The sequence below is a fragment of the Homo sapiens genome, chromosome 7 (assembly GCF_000001405.40).
Source record: "Homo sapiens chromosome 7, GRCh38.p14 Primary Assembly".
Classification (NCBI taxonomy): domain Eukaryota; kingdom Metazoa; phylum Chordata; class Mammalia; order Primates; family Hominidae; genus Homo; species Homo sapiens.
In genome coordinates this window covers 85,265,572-85,292,816 of record NC_000007.14, presented here as the reverse complement: position 1 = coordinate 85,292,816, position 27,245 = coordinate 85,265,572, and positions in this window count along the sequence as shown.

The following is a 27,245-nucleotide window of genomic DNA, read 5'->3' as shown; positions in this document are numbered from 1 at the left end:
AAATGATAGGACTAAATCCATTTCTGTTCCATGTTAATACATAAAATTAAAATTAGAGAAGGAATTTGCATTTCTTAATTTTATAGTTAGACTAAAATATTTTATTGGAAATATTCCTTTTAAAAACTTCTAGCTAAATACTTTTCCAAAAAAATGAAATTTTAAAGATATGTTAATGGGTTATAATAAATAAAAGTTATAGTTGCTGTAATGAAAAGGTACTATAGTAAACCAGGCTCAAAAACACAGATTAATCAAGCTCTGTTAGTGATTATTTACTCTATTGTTTTACTACCATATATGCTTGAATAGGCTACCTTATTATTTTACTACCATATATGCTTGAATATCAGTACTACATTCATACTGAGTTAACATTAATTGGATAATATAGCAATTAAATATATATAGTTATGCATATTACTAATTTTAATTTATTTTCAAATTATGTGTTTTATTTTCTCATAAGAAATTGATAATTTTCATACCATATTAGTTTGCTAGGACTGCCATAACAAAGTACCACAGATTAGATAAATTAAACCACAAGTATTTATTCTCTCACCATTCTGGAGACTAAAAGTCTAAGATAAGGTATAGGTAGAATTGGTTCCTTCTGAAGGCCACAGGAAGAATTGATTACAGGCCTCTATATTTGGTTTGGAGATGGCCATCTTCTCCCTGTGTCTTCACATGCCTTCTCTCTATACAAATCTTTGTCCAAATTTCCTCTTCTCACAAGGGCACCCATCCAGCTGAACTCAGGCAAACCCTAATGATCTCATTTTAACTTAATCACCTTTGTAAAGATCCTGTCTCCAAATTCAGTCATGTTTGGGGGAAGTTAGCACTTCAAAATGAAATTTTTAGAAGCGGGAACACAATTTACTCCATAACACACACAAAATTCACAAATCAATATTTAGGAGACTTCAAGTAGCCATAACTTCTTTGAACTTCATAAAAGCAACAATTTTTTATGCTTGGTATACAGTGGCAGTTTTATTAATTCTGAACATTTAGCTATTTTTTTTTCTGAACTACTTTGGTTGTTACAGAATAGTGAAAACTAAGAGTACCACATTTGCAAAATACAAAATAATAGTATTTAAGATGATAGGAATATTAATGAAATACACAATAAGAAGAGTTTATACAGCTTTATAATTTTCATACTACAGTTTTCATACATCTTGGTTTTTCAGACTTTGAGATGAACAAATCAAGTTAAAAAGAACCCCAAAGTCTGGTCGTAAAAGCAAAAATAAACTGTTTCATACTGTGATCCAAGAGCATGGATCCAACAGGGAGTTCCTTGATCTTCCAGAAATAACTATTAACCTTAACTTTTTAAAGCTTGGAAATCTATTAGTAAATGTGTCTGATAAAAACCAAAATATTTCTGGGAAATATCACATATTAGTTTTCAAATCTTGCATGAGTTACATTATTTGATAATAGGACATCCTTGCTTGACAGAAAATGTAATTTCTTTAAGAATGAGAAAGCAAGTAGATTTTCAGTGTCTGTAAAAACAAGAGACTAAGTAGAATTTTCCCTTTCCTTTTTTGTGGGGGAAAACCAAAAAGGAAGCTAAAATCACCCAACACAGCACATCCAAAGATGTTCTGGTTTTTTTTCTTCAAAATTCATAAGATACTAAATACACGTATTTAATATGCACATTTGTGTAAATATGTATTATTAATAAAAATGAGACAAATAAAATTTAATTATTAATCAGATAAGAAAAAGTAAACAAAAGATAGCAATGTGAGGATTGTGTTATTTTGTCATTTGAGTTGATTTCAGAAAACTTGAGATCGGGAGATGGGGGGAAGAAAGGGGAAAAGTTTATTTCTTATAAGAAATAGTCTGTATTCAAAGTTGTAAGTTTTTTTTGTCAGAAATTCACCTCATTAAACAATTCAAATTTTAATCCTTCCTATGTTCTTAATTCCTAGACTTTCCTTAAAATGTTTTTTTTTAATGGTCTGAGCAGTTAATCGAATGCTTATTTTCAGATTTTACACAATTTCATGAATGACAGTGTCCAGTAGAGCACGGCTATTTCACTATTACTTTGAATCCATACACCAAAGAAATTCCAGACATTTCATTATCTTCCACATTTTTTTGAGAGTTGAAACGTGAAAGTGAGATGGAAAGATGGACAGCTGAGGAAGAGTAACCGTAAAAGAAGAGGCAAGCTAAACACAATAAACCTAATCTTAAACACAAATGCACACAGCTGTGCAGTTTTCAGGCCCCAGAAAACCTGTCTCTGTGTAATGCAATATGAAAGAAAAACATCCTTGTTCTTGGAGGCAACTTCTCCATTTCTTGTGCTTTCTTATTTAAATAACCTTAGATCACAAGACACAGGATACACTTAAAAGTACTTCCTCCTTTTCAATGACCTTTCAGCTCTGAAAGGCCAGGTGAAAAAAGGAAAAATATCAAGATGTCTATTTCTAACTCCAACTATTACCTTTTGTGGAGAATGTCATCTTCTTTGAGAGCCTATAAAGGTGAAAAGAAATGTATGCTAAAAAGTACCAATATATATAACTGATATATTAAATATTTGCAGTTTCATGGAAGTCCTTTATCTATTTAAATAAAGTTAAAGAGTGCCTAATCCAGAAGATATTCAATGTTTATGAAACACATTAATGAGTGAATTAATTAAAATGTATTTTTTCTACCACTTGGAAAATTTTATGTCAGATGACGAATAAAGTACATGGAAAAACTGTGTATTTTCTAGGTAAATGAAGCATGAATGAACAAGATATTTAGGTTTTAAAGGTCTTTATATCAGAAATTTTAAGCTGTCATAAAACGAACTTACAGGTAGTGAATGGTCTAGACGTTCAGCCTGAAATAAGCTATTTAACTTAGTACATATCCTGCCTGCTGTTGTAAGCAAATTCCATTCATTGACCTTCTTTTCTACCACTTTTCCTATCAGAAACTGAATACCTATTTGGAAAATGAGAACACATGAACCACTGATTATGACTGAACCTGGAACTCATTCCCACCACCTCCATTTCTGAGCAACAGAACATAGAAGAGCCCCACTAAAAACCACTAATCAAGGTCCTCAAATCCTTTGCATGGGAGCTCCAGCCAGGCAAGCCTAGGAGACGTATTGAGGTGCTGGTAGCCAATGCTCAGGAAAAAGAATGACTTTTGGGTATTTGAAGAATAGAAAGCTTCAGTAGTCACATAACAGGTTGATGTGGGACACACAGATGGGGAAGAAACGGAGGTAGCTGATTCATTCTTGTATTTTAATGCCTATCTGCCCTTTATCTCATGTACCCGGGAGACAGCAGTGCTTACCAGAATGCTAATGACTCTTTTATTCCTTTTTATGAACCACAGGAATCCCCTTTCTCTATAGCTCATCACCCACGTGCAAAAAAAAAAAAAAAAAAAAAATATGTACTTCCCTGCTCTAACAAAGAATTCAAACACACTTTTGCTTACTCTCTTGCACTTTGATGTTTGAAGCAAACAAAAAAGAATTTGTTCTCTCAGAGTAAATAACAACTAAAAGTAAAGAAATAAACGTAAAACTTTGCCTGCCCTCCTGCCTTCCCAACTTTATTTTCCTGTAAGCCTTCTAGGAATAAAAGAAAATAGAAGGTTACACATTGGTGCTGTTTGTCTTGTACACAAAATGCTAAAGGACTTTCATCTGCACATATGTGGAAAACCAACTGCAGTTAACATGGACATTTCCCCCAAAGGGGCAGTAGTTAGAGATCTGGATATGAAAAGCTGAGAAAAGCTGGAGGATGGACAGTGAGGGAGAGGCTAGGGGCTGAGGATACACTTAATACAAAGACAGTGACGTGTACTTGAGGATGCTATTTCCATATTGGCTACAAAAGTACTCCTCTTCCACCAGGCTTAGAGCAAAGTAAAAAATCAAGAAGTAGGTCCGGTGACATTGATAAGAGGAGTGATAGGTAAAAGGAACTGCCCGGAAAAAGTGAGGAATCAACAGAAATAAATGTCTGCCCATCTGGAAGTAGAGTTTCAGTCCCTACTTAGCCTTTCTAAGGGCTGTTTATTACTGGATTTATGTAGCATGATAGTTCAAATAAGAATTGTTCCTAATGGATCTGTTTTTATTTTACATTGGTTATTCGTTCATAAAGAATGAGTAGGTTATTATAAAGAAATTCTGTATTTAAAATGTCTGTAAATCAGGTAAGTGAATATGCTAAAAAATACCAAGTTAAATTATTAATGCCTTATATATAGTACTGATGTAAAAACTGAGGTAAAGACTAAAAAATAGACTTTTTCAAAGAAGGGATGAGATTAGAATTCCTAATCTCTGCATTTTCAAAATATGGCTATTATATAGCCTTCTTTATTCCTAAGTTTAAAAATGAGCCTAAAATCTCTAAAAGTCATGTTCACATATAACAATAATGATACAATAAATTAAATAAACTTTTTAATATAAAAATCAGAAACTCATAAATTATGCTATTTTGTTTGGTTCCTACCAGTATTAAATACATTTTAAATTAGTTTGCAGAGTTACGGGCACGTCACTGAAAAATATGGTAATTTGTCTTTATTATGAATTATTTTACCAAGAACAGCTGATGTTTTATAGAAACTAGTTCAACATACATTTTGAGTTAAAAAAAATAACTTGATACAATTATAGAAATCATCCAGAATCAAATCACAATTACCTAAACTCCTTAACTAATTATTTTTTCTGATAATAGACTGGAAGTTTTCACTCCAATTTTCTATGAGGGCTAGGCTTTCAATTTTATTTTATAAGAAATGTACATGAATGAAAATGTCATACAGTGGCATTTGCAAAGGTACTAGAAAATATAATTTATAAGACTATTTGTTTCTCATTTAACTTATATTTCAAAAAAATTGGAATTTTTATGTATTCTACCATCACGTTTACTTGCAATTTTCCAGTAATCGTAGGAGATCCTCTTTAAAAGTCTACAAAATAATGAGGCTAAGGACACCTCTTCATTTGTATTTACAGGGAAATTAATTCTTTAGAATTTGCATTTGTCTTTTTAAATGACAGCAGATTTGTCTCAAGTGTGAAATCACAAATTTAAAAGTTAAAAGGCCTCTGGAGTGCAAGACTAGCAGTTGTCCCTTGATGAGACTACTGACAATGACAGCAGATGACAACCTTCAATACAATCATTGTCATGTGTTTGCATGTGAAATTTATGGATAGAAGTTTTAATTCTCCTCTTCTATGGTTGGTGTGGTTTGCCTTCTAGAAAAGAAGCAATTGTTATCAGTATGTAACTGAAGTCTCTAGGATATGATTACATACTTAAGACATGAAGAATTGGAAATGCTTTCAGCAGTCCCCAGGGACGAGCTTAGGGTTGTGACTGATCAACAGGGTAACTATCCTGGTTATAATCCTCACATTACATTCCAGAGGAAAGGCATCACTGCACCTCTAGTTTTCTTAGTTATATTATTTATGACAACAGTGAAGACTTATACTAGTATTAACTGGACAACTGTATACAGATGTGTCATCTAAAACGGTTAGCCCGAGGCGGTAAAAATGTGTCTCAGTCTCACCATTCATCCAGCAACAGCTGACAATTTGGCAGCAATCTGTGTTATGTTAAGATTTCCTAGTATCCCTATTTGTACTGTTGCTTGAGGAATCATATGAGAGTAAAAAACATGTTTTGCAGAATACATTATGAAAACAATCATAAGGTATACGTCTATCATTAAAAAATCTTGATGATGTTATGCATGCATATATGAGGAATAAGAAGGAACGAATCAATGTCTGGGTGACAAGTTTCATACATGGCTGAAATTTTTTTCATAAGTTTGAAATGCATGCTTTTTCGCTGTGGAAGTGGAATCACACCTTTGCCTTGCTTTGCACATTTTTAAACTACTGACACATGTTTCAGAGATGTATTGCTTACTCTTCCCTTAATAAGAAAAAAAATCCTGGTAAATAGTCTAGCGAGCATAGAGAATAAAATAACTGGAGGCCACATACAGCAATTTTTAGTTTTATAGTTTATCTTTGGATCGTTTCAGTCTTCTGTATTTACTGGATCTGCCTGTGGAAAAGTCTGTTAATCTGATGGCCAACGTGTTTGTTCTGAGTCACTGATTAAGGAACACTGATGTGAGCACTTTGTTGTGTTTTCCTGCTAATCACAACAACATTTCAGAGCTGCAGAGTTTCCAACTGCTTTCTTCATCCTTGGCATATATAATCTACTTGGAAATAGCTAACTTTTAACTATTTTTCCATTTTTGAAATAGTATGTTGGATATAAAGCTTAATATTTAGTACAGTACAATTTTGCCTTTGTTTTCTGTTTGTCAAGGTGCAGTTTTCCCAAGTAGACAAACATAAAATCCTTTCATTATTCCCAGTCCAGTTAAAAAATAACATTATTAACAAAGAATATGCTTATAATAAGAATTATAAAGATCCAAATGACACAAATATCATGGAAAATTAAGTTAGAAGTAGAATTGAAAAACAGTCCAAAATCCTCATTTTAACTGATTTTTTATTTAGAAAATATATCCATTTCAGATGTTATATAAGCTATTTTTATATAGGAAATATTGATTACATAATTTGTGTGTTTGGAAACTTTAGACACACAGAACTTTAGAAGGCTATGAAAACAGGTAAAGAAGAGCCTACTCAATGAAGCATGTAATAAGAAAAAGAAGATTTTACTGTGTTGTAACCTACATACGATTTTCTCTCACTTTCTTATGGATAGCACATCAACATTTTGGCTAACATAGGCTAGGAAAGCAATGGATCCCACAGCAAACACTAGAGATAAACAGTAAAAATTGATTAATTGAACTACTTAAAAAACGTTCACTCCCTGATGTCTTAATGTTCCTGGTGATTTACTTCCCAAGATGTCCACTTCATATTGTTTTCATTGGGTGATTGGAATAGAGGACCCTTTCACTGTTGTTTGCTTCACTGGAGTTGAGATGGAATGGTTCCAGTTGTATAAACAGCTCTTGGTGATCTTCCAGCCTTCTTTCCAGTGCCCCATGGAGAGGCAGTTGATTAAGCAGGGCATGGTATGGGCAGGTGCTGCACACAATTCCTTCATAGTTTCACCATCCCCCTGTGGACCTCAAGTGTGACTCTAGTCCTAGTTCTTTCATGAATTGGAACAACTAATCATAATTTACTCTGAGGTGATTTGGGTCATGTACACAAATTGCAGATAGAATTAAGTTAATAGAGTCCTTTTATTGTATGCTTGGCCAAAACCAGACCTCCTGAGAGGAAAGACTAATTGACTAGTCACCTCATGCATTTTTATGCCCGCATAGAGGGCCTTGAATATAAGCAACTAAGAGTATCCAATTGACACAGAGGATTTGGCTCTCCTGACTGAAATTTATCAACTGCAGAAGTTTATATATCTGATGTACTTTGTTTATTTGTTTGTTTGTTTTTCATGGAAAGAATGTGGAGCTAAGGAGGAAAAAGATTTTCATGACAAAAGAAGTATTTTCCAAATAATGCATTAAGACTCATGCACGAATACCTATTTTCATAAATCTTAGAAAGAGAGGTCTATGATATCTTCTAAATATATTTTTACGTATACTTTTAAGAAAGGATATTGTAGGGGAAATAATTTTCAAATTTTTAATCTATATTTAATAGAATATTTTGAAGGAACTAATTATGTATCACTTTTAAATCTGTCTATAAACTGGAAAAAATGTCACTATGTCTGATACAAATAGTTTTATGAACATGATTGTGACAACAAAAGAGCAACCAAAATTATTTGGGAAATGTACTTTAATGTTTACTAAACAATTTACTTTCCTCTAACACATTGTGGATAGCACATCAACATCCCAGAACTTGTCTTTTTCTCACAGCCTGGGGAAGCAATAGATTCCACAGCAAACATTAGACATAAACTTAGTAAAAACTGCTTAATGGAAACACTTAAAAATATTTATTTCTTCTATATATTTCTTTTAGTGACTGTATTTATGAATTCCATCCCATCTTTTTTGCTAGAACTATTGAATTTCCCTAGACTCTTTTATTTAGTTTTCTGCCATATTGGCTTTGTTTGTTTGTTTGTTTGTTTGTTTGTTTGTTTTAGATGGAGTCTTGCTCTGTCACCAGGCTGGAGTGCAGTGGCGCGATCTCGGCTCACTGCTACCTCTGACTCCCTGGTTCAAGCGATTCTCCTGACTCAGTCTCCCGAGTAGCTGGGATTACAGGCACACACTACTATGCCCAGCTAACTTTTGTATTATTAGTAGAGATGAGGTTTCACCTTGTTGGCCAGGATGGTCTTGATCTCCTGACCTAGTGATCTGCCTGCCTCGGCCTCCCAGAGTACTGGGATTATAGCCCTGAGCCACCGCGCCCGGCCCATACTGCATTTCTTAAGGAAACATTAAATCAAAAGTTGGGAAAAAAATAAATATTATGCACTATATTGCTTAATTAACTGTATATGCTCTGGAAGATATTTAGTACATATTTACATTAAAAGTAGATTTCTAACATTGCAAGGTCAATGGTTCTTAATTCTCCAGTTATGCATCAGAATTTTTTGGAGAAAGATACTTCTCTCATTTAAGATCAGGCAGTCAATTTGTGAGGATGAGTCCCAGGTTTCAGTGTTTTTTAAAAGATGTGAGTATTTTTTAAAAGCTCCCTTTATTCTAATGTGCAGCCAGATTTAAGACCCATTTTTCTATTGAAACTAATATTTACTGTTTACTACATACCACATATGGTATTAGACATACTTCAAATTTTTTGTTTCATCTAATTTTTAACTATTACAAAACGTAGTTGAATTATTGAATTAGTCAACCTCGAGAATCCAAAGTTTAGCTTTTCTAATTGCTTTATAAAATCAGCTTATAACAAGTTGATTTGGCTCCTTAACTTCAGGAATGAAAAGTTTTTTAAAACTTATGTTTATTCGGCCAGGGGAAGTGGCTGACGCCTGTAATTCCAGCACTTTGGGAGGCTGAGGCAGGAGGATCACTTGAGGTCAGGAGTTTGAGACCAGTCTGGTTAATATGGTGAAACCCTGTCTCTACTAAAAATACAAAAATTAGCTGGGCGTGGTGGCGGGCGCCTGTAAGCCCAGCTACTGAGACTGAGGCATAAGAGTTGCTAGAACCCCGGAGGTGGAGGTTGCAGTGAGCTGAGATCACACCATTGCACTCCAGCATGGCCACTCATGTCAAGATAGCAATTTGTCACCTACACCACAGAATTTTGATTTAATATACAAAAAAAATTTAAATGGGATTTGTATATCAGAAAAGTTTACATTGTTTTCAGTTGTACTTGTAGAGACTTATCTTAATTACTTTTCAATGAGTAGTGAAATTCTCTTGGTGATTTTCCATGATAGTATCTTCTAGAAAAGATAGAGGTATGGACTAAGATAAAATTTAAATAAGACAAATAAGGCTTTGGTTTTCTATCTTAAAGAATATTCAAATTAAGCCTACTCTCATAATTCATTGATAAATTTTCGGCAATTTCTGAAGTACAGTAGTTAATGCCATGTTTATTTGCATTGTCAATATAGCAAATATTGAATTAAAATTTTAAAGTGTATTAGACTTCTCTGTGTAATATTACAATAGTATAGAAATTTAATGGTACTTTTTTCTTTTTCTAAAGTGATATTTTCATCTTACTGCAAAAGATTATCAAAAAAACATGTAAGATTTTTCTCAGTAGCCATAAAAGTTTGTTTAAATGTATTTGTATTTTATTTATGTTATTACTAGCATAAGGAAAAAAATTATAATTTTAAATTGTTTACATATATGTAGCATTAGGTAATGTAACACCAATATATAATACATATAATAAATATATTCATAACACTTCATGTATTGCATATTATACATGGAGGCAATGTATTCAACACAGCCTTTTAATGTATATTAAAATATATAAACTAATGTATATATAATAAAATTTTTAGTCCAAATTGGGTGTATAAACCAATTAGTATATTTTCAGTCCAAAAATAGGCTTTAGACATCAGTGTATTTCTTTATAAGTGAATTCAACACACAAATTTAAGCTATGCTCTCAGATTGTTGAAGTTATTTATTTAGCCTTTCAGTATGCCAGACTTAACTTTCCTACTCTTAAAATGATGTAGTTTTTGTGTATTTGGAGTGAATCATGATTTTTGGACACTATTTACAAATTGGTACATTCTCCCACCCTAATAAAAGATATAGATTCCCCATTCATTTCTACTGCTAGAATTTAGAGCAAAGAATGACAGAAAACGTTAGATGTCCCATTCTCTGTGACACTCTGGGCCAGGGACAGGTGATAGTATTGTTAAGAAATTTTTTTAAGGGGTGGTGGTTGTCAGGAGAATGTTTTAACTTGTCTGAGACGTTAGGAATTTCTAATTTAAAGTTTCAGCTTTGCATCATTGTCCTAGACAAATCCCAAGCTACAACTCTAGCCTTTCCCCAAGGCATACAGGGTTTTCCACATGAAACATAGCAAGTCTTTTTATGAAAGACATGTTTTATTAATCTTTCTGAATTTATAAGACAACACTTTATGGTAGTGACTGGGACAGTTGCAGGGGGAGATTTTTCCAGTGGTCATTTACTATTACTTATTAGATAATGTGTTCTTTGGGGAGTCAAATTATTCCTCTAATTGTAAATAAATCAGCACAACATAATCAGCTAGTAGTTACAAGGCACTGTCATTTAGGGACGTGGATCTGTAATCAGTTCCTCTGGATTCCAGTACCTGCATTTGAGACTATAAATGTGATTTTACCATTAAGTATTTACTTCATTTTCCATATGGGGAAATAGTGACAAAAGAGTGTTTTCTGTGAACAGAACATGGAATTTCTGATGGGCTGTGCTTTCTGTTCATTATTTCTATTTGGTTTCAGTAGTAGTAATGAGCTTTTAAATAAGAACCTTGACTTCAGTGGATGTGGCTACAAGAATAAAGTAAATATCAAGGGTGTCTTCCTGACCATCAAATAAAACACCCCTTCAGTAAAATAATCACCTTTTTATTCCTTCATTATGAAAATATTTGACTTTCAGTGGAAAGTTTTTCCACCCAACAAGGACCAAATTTCTATTAAAAAAAAAAAAACTTCCAGTGCTTTTTAACTACTTCCATTCCCTTCTTCAGAGTATTGGGGTGACAGGAGATGGGGCATAGAATCAACCTTTCAAAGGGATTAGTTTTCTTTATAACAACACAGAAATCTTCAACATTAAAAAAAAACATGTTATTCAGTATTTTCACAGCTCAGCACGTGCTTGACTGACCCTTGACCATAACAAAGCATTAGAATTGACATAGAAGGAAAAAAAATATTTTTGAAAAGAGGCTGTTATTAATAAACAAAGAATTCTGGTTTAAAAAATATATACTGTTGAGTAGTAAGGCTTTCAGTGAAACAAACCGTAGTTGTGTCTTCCTACAGGAAAGCCTTCTGACTTACTATTTAGTTTGGTTCAGGACCTTTTCTACTTATGTCTTGTATATACATAGAAGTCTGGAAAGAAAAAGTAAATCTGATAGAATCATGTCAGTAAACCATTAGTTTGTAGTCTTTATCTGAAAATAAAATAGTAATGTAATTTTTCAGTGCTTTAAAAATAAGATTGATAAGAATTTTAGGAGTTGAAATCATATCTCTCACATTAGGAAGTCTTTATTATAGAAATAAACATACTCATCTGAATATACATACACATATACACATATACAAAAAATGTTATATATATATATATATAATCATTTACAATTAATTTAGAGCAAAGTATTTCACTTTTTATTGTAGGGCAGACATAAACTTTCTCAGAGTCTATTGTTTCCTTCCACTATCTACTCCTTCTCCTCCTTCTGTTCATTTTCATTCATTCAGAAAAAGGAAAGAAATTTTGGCTGACGATGATTGTGCGTGACTGAGATCAGTAATACCATGTCTTGGCTGTACTATTCGTTCATCTAAAGCCATTTTTAATATAACTTTCCAAGCTGCTACAGGGCTGGAACTCAAAAAGTATTAAATGTCAGTCTTCATTGTTCTGAGGGGCTATCTAGTCCTGTTTCTATTTTGGGAACATGATTTGGCATTTAAGGGATAGATTGTTGCGTTGTTTCTAACTGTGCTCAATCTTATGACTACACTCTTTATTTCAGACTAGTCTTTCTACCCATGTAGAAAGCTTTAAGATTTTTTTCACAAATGCTACTGTTTCTCTGAAAAAAAAAGTTATTAATATAAATTGTACCTATCCCCAGAACCTAGTATAGAACCTTGACACACAAGAGTTATTCTATGAATATTTGTTGAATGAATAATTAAGGTATGAAGATTTAAAAAATTCATTGATTAATCATATTATATTTCATTTTACTTGCTTTTATCAATACATATCTTAGTTATAATAGGCATTTTACCTTTGAAGTTATTTTACCATGAAAATTTAAATAGTCATCTAGCAAACTTTGGCATATTCTTTGTTCATTATTCAGTCCAGTTAATGATGCCTTTGAGTGTCATGGTAAATTATCTGAGTGGTTACACTATTAACTTTTCAGTTTCTACTTTATAATTTGAGCAACCATTTTCCTGTACAATTTCACCATAGCTATGCGGCTACTATTCTAGCATTAAGTTAACTTTAAAACTAATCTATATCCCAGTTATAACTGCCTTATACCAAATTCCATCTTACTGGTAGTTCTACAATGTTAAGAAAAGTGCAATGTTAGTTCATACATGACTTTTTTTATTAGGATGACTGCCTGAAGAAACTTCAAGTAAGCCTAACTAATATATATGTGTGTGTGCGTGTATATATATATATATATGTATATGTGTGTGTGTGTGTGTGTGTGTGTATATATGTATATATATGCAGGCGTATATATACACACATATATATGAGTGTGTGTATATATATGCACGTATATATATACACACATGTATATATAAGTGTATATATGTATATATGAGTATATATACTCTCTATATATGACAGTGTGTGTATATATATATATATATATATAATCTTTGCCTAAATACTACAGATAGATAGATAGATAGATAGATAGATAGATAGATAGATAGATACAGATAATTCTTTCCCCAGGTATCTTATTTTCCAATATTTAAATGATAACGCATCTGCTCAGATTAAATATGTTATTGTAGCTTAACTGACCTCTGTGTTTTGATACATTGGTGAGTACCTTTTCTATAAGCCTTTGTAACTAGGGCAAAAAGACCAGGCTATATAATTAGTCCCATTAGACCCTAATTTCCAAATTGGCCTTCTTTAACTCTAACTTTTGCTTAAAGACTCTAATATTTTAGTTTGGTAATTTTGTCTGACATTCTATATGAGTTCCATAAAACAAATGCAGGGCTCCAAAACCCTTTTTTGGAGACCACCAAGCTAGGGCTTGCTTGCGACTTAGTTCCAATAGAAGTAAATAACCCTATGTTAAGATTTGTAGTTTCTTTTGGAGCTCATGGTTCTCATATGTTTCTGGTTTATGTAGCCACCCATGTCATTAGAAATAATGAAATGCAAGGTTAAAATACCCAGAAGTGATGAGAATTGTAGTCATAATAAAATCATATTTTTAGGCACTTGTCAAAATTCAAATGGCAAATGCAGAATTTTCATATGGTAAACCTCACTGAGTTGTACCATGACTATCATAACAAATCAGACTCCTTTAAAAATGCTTATATTAACTTTCCATTGCTATCAAATTTTGTATTGCTACCTAAAATTCTGCATTAAACTTGGATATATTCTGTTCTAAATTTCACAGTAGATTTGTCAACATAGAATGAAACACTAGGAGAATAATATGAGAGGTGCATTAATTTCCTTAATACCCTCTTTTTTCTTCCTGTGGTTTAGCTTAGTAAGAAACCCATCAAATAATCACACATTAAGTTAGGTCTGACAAATATCTCTCTTTTTTCCTACAGGAAGTCTATATTTGTTCTTGCTAATGTGTCATTTTAATAATCACTAGGGTGGGCAGGGTGCAGTGGCTCATGCCTGTTATCCCAGCACTTTGGGATGCCAAGGTGGGCGGATCACTTGAGTTCAGGAGTTTGAGGCCAGCCTGGCCAACATGGTGAAACTCCATCTCTACTGAAAAAAAATAAAATAAAATAAAAAATAAAAAATAAATTTAAAAAAAAATAGCTGGTAGTGGTGGCGGGTGCCAGTAATCCTAGCTACTCAGGAGCCTGAGGCATGAGAATCTCTTGAACCTGGCAGGTGGAGGTTACAGTGAGCTGAGATCACACCAGCCTGGGTGACAGAGTGAGCAGCCTGGGTGCACTCCAGCCTGGGTGACAGAGTGAGATGCCATTTCAAAAAAAATAAAAATAAAATAAAATAAAAATAAATCACTAGGGCAAGAGAACTTCACATAATTTCCTTGATTTTTTTTTTTTTTTTTTTTTTTTTTTTTGTGGTTTGTCTCTTGCAGGTAAATACTCTCTTATTTGTGAAGTGTTTAGTAAGAGCTACTGGAATCATCTTTTTTCTTCAAGTAGATCAAGCTTGTCTATCCCATGGCCCATGGGCGACATACATATGGCCCAGGACAGCTCTGAATGCAGCCCAACATAACTTCATAAACTTTCTAAAAATGCTATGAGATTTTTTTTTTGAGATATTTCTTTTTAGCTCATCAGCTATCAGTATATTTTATGTGTGGCCCAAAACAATTCTTCTTCTACCAATGTGGCCCAGGGAAGCCAAAAGACTGGACATCCCTTTTGTAGATATTTAAGAAAAGATTTCCATTTTGTACTAAAAAACTACTAAGTTTTTTTTGGTCCTATTTTCATTGTTTAATAATTTGCAACTTGATTAGGGAGCCAAAATTATCCCAAATATTACACATCGACAAAAAATCAATAATATAATATTTGGCCCTTTGAGAAAAAAAAATATGTGATCACTTTAATATAAATCTCTGGGCCAGGCGCCATGACTCAAGCCTATAATTTTAACACTTTGGGAGGCGAAGACGGGCAGATCGCTTGAGCTCAGAAGTTGGAGACCAGCCTGGGCAACATGTCTAAATCCCGTCTTTACTAAAAATACAAAATTTAGCTGGGTGTGGTGGCACACGGCTGTACTCCCAGCTACTTGAGGGACTGAGGTAAGAGACCTCTTGAGCCCAGCAGGTCAAGGCTGCAGTGAGACCTATTCAGGCCACTGCACTCCAGTCTTGGTGATGAAGCGAGACCCCGTCTCAAAAAAAAAAAAAAAATATATATATATATATATACACACACACACATATATATATACACACACACAGACATGCACACAGACACATAGATATATGCACATATATATGTGTCTATATATATATTATATACACATTATTATATTATCTATAATATATTTATGTGTGTGTGTGTATATATATATAAATTTTCCAGTGAAGAAATTCACTCCCAGGAAGGTGAGATTATTTTAAATGTCTTGCTTAAGGTGACAGACATAGTGAGATATGGCAGAGGGAAACTTACGTGAGTTGAGATCAAAATTAGGGCCTAGTTGGCTTGGAAAATTCCTAAATTTCTACAGTTGTAAACTCTTTAACAATAGGAGATATCAGATTCTTCCTAACTCTAATTTATAAACCAGACCACTACTACAACCCTGACTAGACAGAGGACTGGCCTTACAATCTTTGCTGATAAGCAATAACAGACCTTAAACCAGTTTCAGCAAGCTTATAGGGGCTGTGCACAAATGGTCTTGGTGTCCTATAGCTCACCTTTTGACGTAAAGAGACAAATTTCATCCATTTTTATGCCAGCACTCTGCTCCAAAGTGAACATGGAAAGTATGTCATAGTTATGTTTACTCATTGTGCATGTGCTTGGTTTCCCTCAGAAAGACATAAAACTTTTCCCCCAAACTTGCTAAATATGTATGACTCTATTGTGTGATATAGGCCCTATGAGGCCCTTTTTGAAGAGAGAGCACCTTCAGCCCATATCAAAGACTTTTTCTTTGTGATTTGTAAACGAATATCACCAAAAAAGCTCTTCTTTCTATGATTTAGCTATCCTGATGGTCTTTTGGATGGCACCTAGAACGAAGATCTCACGCCTCCACTCTGGTGTGTCTCCTACTTGACCATTTATAGGGAAGTTCCAATTTTTCCCCTGAAAGTTTGATAAGGTGAGTCTATAGAACAAACTGATAATAAACGTATTAATAGAAAAAAGGCACACATATTTTATGTGCACACATATGCAAGGGAGTCATACAAAATACAAAAACTCAAAGAAAGGCAAATGGTTGATACTTTTATACTATCCAGAGGTTACAGAAAGAATAGGGGATTAGAGAGAAGCCTGACAGGTTATAGTGGCCAGACACGTTACTGGAGGAAGAGAAGAGGAGGCTTGGGTAGTAAAGGTGATCTTGTTAGGAACATAAAACCTCATAGATAGCAGCCCTCAGAAACAATAGATAGTGATCTCTGCTTAATCTTTCTCTGTCAGATTTTTAGAGATGTCAAGCTTTCACTTAATCTTTCCTATATCCAGACGCAGGATGGCCTCAGAGAAAGCTCAATTGTGTCTGTTTACTTCACTATATTTCCTCTACAGATGCAATTTTCCTCCGCGAAAGGCAGATTCACTAGGCTACTGTTGTCTGCAAGTTCTCTGAATGGGCATCTCAAAATATGTAAAAAAAAAAAAAAAAAAAAAAAAAAAGACATATTTTAGGGTCAAATATTTTTGTTTCTTTTGCCATGTAACTTTGGCATAATTATGTTAAATTTGAACTGTAGGTACTAGTTGATGCACTAAAAGATATAAAAGTTTATTCAGTGAATCCTTTCCTCCTCCAATTTTATTGTAAAACTGAAGATGAAACATATTAGAACAGTGACATAAATTCCCCTGAGTGAGTTTTGGTAGCCTCTTAGCCCTGACCTTACATTTCTTCATTGTGAAGTCTTAGAGTTTGAGAGTATCATCCTCTCTCATCTCAGTATTATTAGCACCTTGTACAATTATCCTGAAGGAAATGAAAATATTTTACCCCAAAATATATTTCTTTTACATATATATTTTGAGATGGCAGTTTAAGACCAGCGAACAGAAATAGCCCTGCAAAGCTGTTGTTTTGGGGAGAAAATTTGCATCTGTACAGAATTTGTATTGATGCGGCTAGGCCTTTTCTTGGGCAGATGTGGGAGAGACGATCAGAGAGTCTGACACCTTAAAATCTGAAAGAAACATTTGCTGTCTATTCTCTCTGAGGGCTGCTACCTGTGAGGTTTCATCTACATAATAACACCTCCTTTGCTAGCCAAGGTGCTCCTCTTCTCTCCCTTCCGGTCTTGCCACTATGACCTGATTTATCATCATAATCTATTTTGGGTCATGTTCTGAACTCCACCTTTTCTGTAACCTCAGGATGGTACATAAGCTTCTGCACCACGTTGGGGGATTGAGTAATGACTTTGTGATACTCCCCATGTATGCATTGATAAATAGTATTCATTTTTTTCTTATTAATCTACCTTTTCTGAGTTGATTTTTCAGTGAATCTTCAGTGAGTGAAGGGAGAGTTTTTCCTTGGCCCCTGCAATCCCATTTCTTGTCTCAATAATAGAAATTATTGAGAATTATTGATCAAATTTCTCTATGATTTGGGATATGAAAGATTAGACATAAATTTTTTTCTTGCCTTTTAGATATAACTAAGTAATTTTAAAGAGGCAAAATAGTCCCATTTTTCTAAAATACAACTGCCTCTGCACCTTATCTTTTTAAATGACTACTCAAGTAAATACCTAATTAGAGTAAGGAAGATCCAAATGATAGTATTTTTTCAGGGATTCCAGAAATATGTTTTAAAACTGCTTATATAAGATTTCAATGTGCACCTGATGATTGCAAATTGCTGTTTTCCAGAAAAGATTAATGGGTGCCTGTTTGAGCAGGGCCTAATTATTGTTTTTCTCTCTAGGGACAAATGTGAAAGGAGCCTGGGGAGATCTATGTAGGCTGTCTCCAGACATGTGCAATTCGCTGTTTAATGGGAGGTGAGGTTTCTGGCCCTCCATAGGACAAAGGGAAAACAAAGGAGTGTATGTTGAGCTTCAGTTGAGGGTTTCCTATATGGGTTTGTGTTGTTTTAATCCCTCTTTCCACAGTCCACTAGTATTGACATTCTCTGTTATCCTTTTCTTTTTTACTAATATAATTTTCAAGCATTTAAGACTGACTCTAACTACAAAAGTATTTAAGTATTAGCAGGATTTTTCCTCACATAAAATTTGAAACAGAAAATGTTATTTAAATACAAAATAGCCAAGAAATAGCTATGACATTTACACAATTAAGATATAGTTTTTAATATGAAGAATTCTTACAATTTTAGATGGTTTATGGTTGCTGCAGTAGTAAAAAAAAAAATAGAGCTGCTTTTTGGTTTTCTCAGTCTTCAGTGATTGAGACCAATATATATGCTAACCTGAAATTAGAAATTAGAGACCACCATGAGCAAATCAGGAAAACCATTTCTACCTGTTAACAGCGTACATCATATTTCATACCTTCAGAGTTTATGGGAAGCAAAATAGTTCTTTCTTCAAAAAAATTACCTACTTTTATTTATTCTTACTTCCCTCATTCAAATAAGATTTACAGTCCCAAAATCCAGGCACTGTGTCAGACAATGTGTGAAAAAAAATAATTCTATACTTCTAGTCTTAACTATCGTCCTGAGCTTCAATTGAGAATTTTCAAGCTATTTCATTTCTAATCCTCTATTATCCTCCTTCTAGGATCCTAATATTTGTAATGATAACACCCTTGACTTCTAACCACTTAGCTTTAACTCTTGAGTCATCTATAATTTGTGACCACCTTTCTTCTCCCGTAGTCACTCAATAGAAAAGCACCATCATGTTTCCCTTTTAAATAATTCTGCTCTAATTGCTAGAAGCATATTTCAGACTTTATTCCTACATGTCCTCATTGTATCTGCTCTTCTTTTCTTTTTCATCTCTTCCTTCTCTTCCTCCTTGTATTTGCTCTTACTTTCTTTGGTGCATTTTATGCATTAGAGTCAAGTGAATTTTCTTCAGGCACTCTTCAATCATGTCTCACACAGATTCAGTATTTTCACAATACTTAGTTTTTTGCATAATGTATTTTAATAGCTTCACGTGAACTCCTAAATTAAAAAAAATTTTTAGTCTGACATCCAATTTCCTTCCTGTTTTGGCTCCAATCCTATCTCACCAAGCTCACCAAGGGTAATTTAGTTACTCCCCTAAACAAACCTTTAGCTCCACCTGTATAATCAGCTTTCTAAATGCTAATCTTGCCACATTCTTGATTCTGGTCTAGCACTGTACTATTCCATCTTTTGGGAACATTTTCAAGTCTCTTTTTTTTAGCTACTTAAATTTTATTTACATTGCTGTGTTTATTTCAAGGTTTACAATAATTATATAGTTATTACATTATGTGGTTTTTAAGTTGGTGTAATAATTTCTAGATTCAGATTATTGGAGTTCGAACTCCTACCCCATTCAAGAGAATCTAAGTTAAGGAAATAATCTGCAGATATTAGTGGCCGTAAAAAATAAACATTTGTTATCTCATACTTTATGCCCATAGCAGATCGTCTAGAGGGTCTGATCTGTTTCTTTCATCTCAGTGACACTCAGAATAATAGAGTCTTCACCTCTGCAATGTGGCAGAGGAAAGCAAATATGGAGACTCAGAAATTGGTTTTTAATGTCTTCCATCCTTAGTATGACCACGCCCAGTTTCACAAAGTGCAGGGAAATAAATCCTGTCATTGGTTTGGTAGGAGAAAAACTGGAAATGTTGACAACAGCACCTGCTAGTGAGTATAATATTTCCTCAACTATGGTACTTCATCTTCACCATGGGAATCACGATATCTGTTTTGAAGGGTGTTTTTTTTTTAAGTTTAAAAGTGATTATACAATATACAAAGTGTTTAGTAAGAGTCTGGTACCATGTATGTCCTAAAGAAATGTTACCTATGTTTAGTCTGTGAAGGCTTATTGCAAAATTTAACATTTGGCTCTTTCAGTCTCGGCTTCCCTCAAAGAGAACAACTTGAAACAATGGCTTTTGTGAAGGTAGTTTATTTTGGGAAGTCATTCCAGGGAACAAGAGTGGGGAAAATGGGAAAAATGAAACTGGAGGGAACGCCAATCAAAACAAGGGTATGCTAAAAAACTTGTCACCATGGTGGTAATTGGGCTGAGTCCCACAGGGATCTTAAGAATTGTCCACGTGAGGGACAAAAGAGGGGAGTGTTTATCTACAGGCTTCCCTGCTCCATTGCTCAGGGATGCCCTACGGGGAGTCACGTTCTTTACACTTCCAGGCTCACGTATGTAAAGTGACCAGTGGGATCTCACGGACCTTACGTCAATGAAGCCCCAGAACAGAAAGCAAATGATGCAGAATGAGCAGAAGAACCAATGATTTGAGTAAACAGGGATCTAAGAAGATAGGGGATGGGGTATAATAAGTGTTTGACACAGTAGCCAACTTGATCTTGGTGATATCTTAAATGCACTTCATTTTTCAGATAATCATGCTAATCTTGCTCATTGAAATGGATGGTCATATTGCATAATAGTGTTTTATTAATCATAATGAAAAATAAAATTGTCATGCTGTAGCAGACATATTTTGCCTTTGTCTACATTTATTCCTTTCATCCTGGTTTTAGTTAAAGCACTTCAGTTCCACTTTAGAAAATTAAGCCTAATAGTTCTTTGGATGAGACAGAGACAAAGCCTTCATAATTAGACACATGACCTAAAATAGATGAAGGCATCTTCGATCCTAAGACTTTCTGAAGCTGTCAAAGGACATTATTGCCACAATAAAGAAAAGGCAGCCTGAGATGAGGCCAATATAGATAAAAGCAAAGCCCCGGGGTGGACAGATAAGTCTTGATAACTTCTTTCGAGTGATTGAACTCATCCAGATTTATAGATATTCTACTCATCTGGATGTTTTGGTTCCACGAATCCATTAACTCTCTTTTTCCCTAAGCCAATTTCAATTACATTTTAGTCATTTATAAGAGAAACAGTTGAGAATTTTTTTTGTCATGGTACATGGAAAACATAATTAAGTTTCTGTGTGATCCTGGAATCAGTTAACAGTTATGTATCACATGTTTAAAGGCAGCAGGCTTGAATGTTTTTATACACCTGTCTCCACAGGTTGTGTCCTTGATGTGACACCCTCTAATCTTGGCAATGCTCCTTTGGGCACTTCTAATTTCTATCCACTTGGGAATTCTTTGTATTATTCCAGGCTGAGTACCTCTTTTTCATTCCCCCTGCCCAGAGTCACTTTCAAAAAGAGAATGTTTAGGACTAACTACATTCATGCAAATCCTGACTCCCTGATGGTCTTGATTAGAGTTTGCAGAGATTAATTTATTTACTGTTTCATATGTCTAATCATATAAGTACTATGTGGATTGTTTTAAATTTAACAGTCTGAAGTTCATCTTATTTCCGTTATCTCAAATTTATATCTTCTTTGACTAGAGACAAAGTCCATAGATTTGCTGTCAGGCAAGTGTGGGTTAAAGCTTTAAAATTGCCACCAATCTCTAGAAGAATTTTTAAACATTGTAGTTCCCCCACCCATAATATGAGAATAATTATAATATCATAGAATACCTTTTTTGGCAGCATGAAGATAGAAACATATACTATACATCTAAAATGATTTTCAAAACCTTGAAATATAGTAAACAAAAGTATGCTGACTATTTTACAATTATTGTTATTATAGAAATTACCATATTATGTCCCTATATTACAAATTTCCTGTGGACTGAGTTTTTATTTTTTTTTTTTTTAATGTTTTAATTAAATAAATCTAATTTTTAAATTAAATTTTATTTTTTTATATTTATTTTTTATTTTTTAAATTTTTTAACATGTATGGTGTATATATATCTCATATATATAAATATGTGATATATTTTGGAATATATGTATGTGGGATATATTATGGGATATATTATGGGATATATATGTGGGATACGTGTGATATTTCGTTGCACACATAGAGTGTGTAATGATCAAGGGTATGTGGGGTTTTTATCATTTCTATATTTTGGGGTCATTACAAGTTCTCTCTTCTAGCTACTTTGAAATATATAATATCTTCTTGCTAACTATAATCATCCTACTCTGCTATCAAACACTAAAACTTATACCTATTATCAAACTGTATGTTTGTAACCATTGACCAGCCTCTTTACACAATATTTACCCCTCCAATATTCACATACTTCCCAATCTCTAATATCTTATCATTCAACTCTAACTCCACGAGATAAACATTTTAGCTCCTACATATGAGTGAGAACATGCAAAGTTTGTCTTTCTGTATCTGGCTTATTTGTCTTCACATTATGACCTCCAGTTCCATCAATGTTGCTATTAGAGGCAGAATTTCATTCTTTTCTATCTCCAAATAGTATTCTATTGTGTATATATACCACATTTTCTTTATCCATCTCTCCTTTGATGGCCACATAGGCTGATTCCAATCTTTGTTAGTGGGAATAGTGATGCAACAAATGCACAAGTATAGGCGAGTGCAGATATCCCTTTGGTATACTGATTTATTTTTCTGTGGATAAATATCAGTAGCGGATTGCTAGATTGTATAGTATTTCTACTTTTAGTTTTTTGGAAAAACCTCCATACTGCTTTCTATAGTGGCTGTACTAATTTACATTTCAACCAACAGTGCATAAGAGTTCCCTATTTTCTGAATCCCTGCTAGCATGCTGTCTCTTTCCACCTCCCCCAACCCCGCCGGTTTTTAATAGTAGCTGTTATAAGAGGGGTAAGATAATCTTTCATTTTGGATGTGATATGAATTTCCTTAATGATTAGTGATGTTGAGCATTTTTTAATAGATTTGTTGGCCATTTGTACGTCTTTTTTTTCTGAAAAAATATCTATCAATGTTCTTTGCCTACCTTTTAGTGAGATTATTAGGTTCTTTTACTTTTGAGTCATGTTGAATATCCTTGTCTGGAGTTCTTTGATATTCTGGATATTAGTCCCTTGCCGGATGAATAGTTTACAAATACTATTTTCCTATTCTATAGGTTGTCTCTTCACTCTATTGATTGCTTCCTTTACTATGAGCTTTTTAGTTTAACACAGACCCGTTTTTCCATTTTTGTGTTGATTGTCTATACTTTTGAAGTCTTAGCCATAAAACATTTTCCTAGACCAAGGTTTTCCCTTGTTTTTTTTTCCCCCTATGTTTTCTTTCGGTAACTTTATAGTTTCAAGTCATATGTTTATATATTTAATTCCTCTTGAGAAGATGTTTTTTAATTCAGTGATAGATAGGGGTCCAGTTTCATTCTTCTTCATGTGGATATCCAATTTACTTAGCTCAATTTATTGAAGAGATTGTCCCCTCAATGTATGTTTTTAGCATCTTTATTAAAAATTAGTTGGCTTTAAATATATGGATCAATTTTTGGATTGTCTATTCTGTTCCATTGGCCTCTGCATCTGTTTTTATCCCAATGCCATGCTGTTTTGCTTACTATAGACTTTTTATGTATTTTGAAATCAGGTAGTGTGATGCCTTCAGCTTTTGTTCTGTTTGCTCAAGATTGCTTTGGTTATTTGGGCTGTTTTTTGTTTCCATATACATTTCAGTATTTTTTTTTTCTATTTCTGTAAAAAATAACATTGGTGATTTGATAGGGATTGCAATAAATATGTAGATTGCTTAGAATAGTATGTTTTTTCTTTTTTTTTTCCACTTCTACCAATACAACCAAAGTATGGTCATTCTAACAATATTAATTCTTCCAGTCCATTAGCATGGGATGTCCTTTTGTTTCTTTGTGTCTTTTTCAATTTTTAAATTAGTGTTTTGTAGTTTCCTTTGTAAAGATCTTTCACTTCTTTAGTTAAATTTATTCATTTATTCCTAGATATGTTATTTTATTTTTTGTAACTATTGTAAATGGGATTTTCTTCATGATTTTCTTCTCAGCTAGTTCATTACTGATGTATAGAAAACTACCAGTTTTTATATGCTGATTTTGTATCTCACAGCTTTACTGTATTTATTTTTCAGATCTAAGAGTTCCTTTGGTGGAACTGTTAGGCTATTCTAGATATAAGATTATGTCATCAGTAAAGAGGGACAATCTGATGTCTCCCTTTTCCAATTTGGATGTCTTTTATTTATTTCTCTTGCCTGGCTACTTTGGCTAGGAGTCCCAATACCCTGTGGAGTAGGAGTGGTGTAAGTGGGCATCCTTGTCTTGTTCCAGTTCTTAGGGAAAAGGCTTTCCACTTTTACCCATTCAATGTGAGGTTAGCTGTGGGTTTATCATATATAGTGTTTATTATGTTGAGGTATGTTCCCTCTATGCCTAGTTTGCTGAGAGTTTTTATTATGAAAGGATGTTGAATCTCATTAAATGTTTTTTTTCTGCTCTATTAAGATGATCATATGATTTTGGTCCTTCATTCTGTTGATGTGTTGTATCACATTTATTGATTTCAACCATTTTTCCATCTCTGGGATAAATCCCACTTGATCATGGTGTATTGTTTTTTGATGTGATGTTGGATTTTGTTTGCTACTATTTGTTGAGAATTTTTGAATCTATCTCATTTTTGGTCTGTTCAGGATTTTTATTTCTTCCTGACGTAATCATCCTAATTCATTTTACCCATTTTCTCTAGTTTTTCCAGTTTATGCATATATAGTTCTTAATAGCATTTGACTATATTTTGTGTTGTAGAGGTTTAAGTTTTAATGTCTCATTTTCATTTTTGATATTGTTTATTTGGATATTCTCTCTCTGTCTCTCTCTCTCTCATTTGTCCAGAAAGCAGCTTATCAATTTTATTTATTCAGAAAAACATCTCTTCATTATGTGTTTTACCTATGTAACAAAGTTGCATGTGTACCCTTTAATCTATAACAAAAGTTGAAATTTAAAAAGCAAAATAAAATCTTTTCATTTTGTTGATTCTTTGTATTATTTTGTCTCAATTTCATTTGGTTCTACTCCAATTTTTTTTATTCTAATAATTTTAGGTTTAGTTGGTTTTTCCTTTTCTATTTCCTTGAGGTTCATAATTACATTGCTGACTTGAAATCTTTCTTCTTCTTTGATGTAGTCATTTATGGCTATAAACTACCTTTTTAATACTGCTTTGGCTGCTTTGCATAGGTTTTAGTATGTTGTATTTCAATTTTCATTTAAGTTTTTTTTATTTCTTTCTTAATTTCTTTCTTGACACAGTGGTTGTTAAGGGGCATGTTATTTAATTTCTATGTATTTATAAAGTTTTCAAAGGTCCCCTTGTTATTGATTTATAGTTTTATTGCATTGTGGTCTAAGAAGACATTTGATACAATTTTGATTTTTAAAAGAATATGTTGAGAATTGTTTTGTGTCCTAATATATGGTCTGTCCTGGAGAATGTTCCATTTGCTGATGAGAAGAATGTCTATTCGGTAGCTGTGGGATGAAATCTTATACAAATGTTTGTTAGGTCTAATGTGCAGTTTATATCCAATGTTTCTTTGTACATTTTCTGTCTAGATGATCTGTCTAATGCTGACAGTGGGGTGTTAAAGACACCAAGTATTATGGTATTGAAATCTATCTCACCGTTTATATCTATAGGGTGGGAATATGGGCTTCTGGGGATCACTCACATACTTGTTTCCCAATTTAGGAAGATGCTCAGACTCCCAGCTGATCCTGGCCAAACAGGCTGCTTTGTTTTCCTCTCCTCCCTGGCTTTTGTTGCTTCTGGTCACTTCTCTGTTGAGTTCCAGTGTTCTCTCTGATATGATCTATTCTAAGTATGGTTATATACTTGCTATTTTGTTCCCTTTTTGTGGAAGAGGGTATTACTAGCTCCATCTATTTAACCATCTTGACTTCCTTTCACGTATTTACTTTTGAGGAGCTGAATATTAAAATACTTAATAAAGATTATTTTTATCAACACCTTACAAGTATTTAAAATTATGCCAGTTTATGAATCATTAACATTTTCTGAATTAACTAAACATAAGCATCATAAGCAGGTGTTAGTAAATTCACACCTGAAGTGAATATTTAAGTCTCACATTGGAGAAAACATTTCTGAAAATTGAAAAAAATCAATGAATTGAGATGTATTAACATAAATATATTATTTAGTGAAAATTTGCGTTGACTCATGAAAATGTGAAGAAACATCACAGTTACAATAACTACAAATTAACAGTTACTGTTAATAGCTGGGGCTAAAGTGAGATGTTTAAAGTACCATAGAAAGAGATTTCCTAGGGAATTGAGAAGTGACACTCCACAGAAAGTAATGCATGACTTACTTACTACTCAATATAAAGTTGTGGTGAGGTAAAGAAGTCAGCACCTGAGGAGAAAAAAATTATGGCCTCTTACCAAGATAATAACATGAGAATTAAATTCCAAAAAGAGTCAAATTGGCTTAGCTTTAGAGGCATGACAAACCCTCTGCCAAGACTGAATCTAACTGGGATGAATAAGTTTGGAGAATGGATGGATAATAGATAATGGATAGATCTAAAAAAAAAAAACAAAAAGATGCTGACTACAATCATAAATATGATAACCCATTAAGCCATTAACTCTGAGAACTAAAAAAAATAGATGGTTGACCCTTGTGCTCCCTTTTAAATTATTTATGTGAGAAATAGTTATCTTTCAAGTGGTTTATATCACTTATTTAGATACATATATATATGTATATTTAGGAAAAAATATTTGGAGAACAATACTAATGTTTTCTTTTAAAAATAAAACATTTCTTTTCAAAAAAAATTTATAGCTTTTAATTAAAAAAGCAGCAAGCTTCACCTCTTCTGAGTTTTAATTTTTTTGTCTGTTGAATGGTAGATTGATCTCGATAATCTTTAACTCCTACATTCTGTAGGTCTGTGAAGATAATGACTCAACACGAGTATGTATTTCAAAGATGCTTATAAACTAAATCTCACTCTTTGATACTTTGGCTTGTGATCCAGAGAGATGAGACTTAGGTAAAT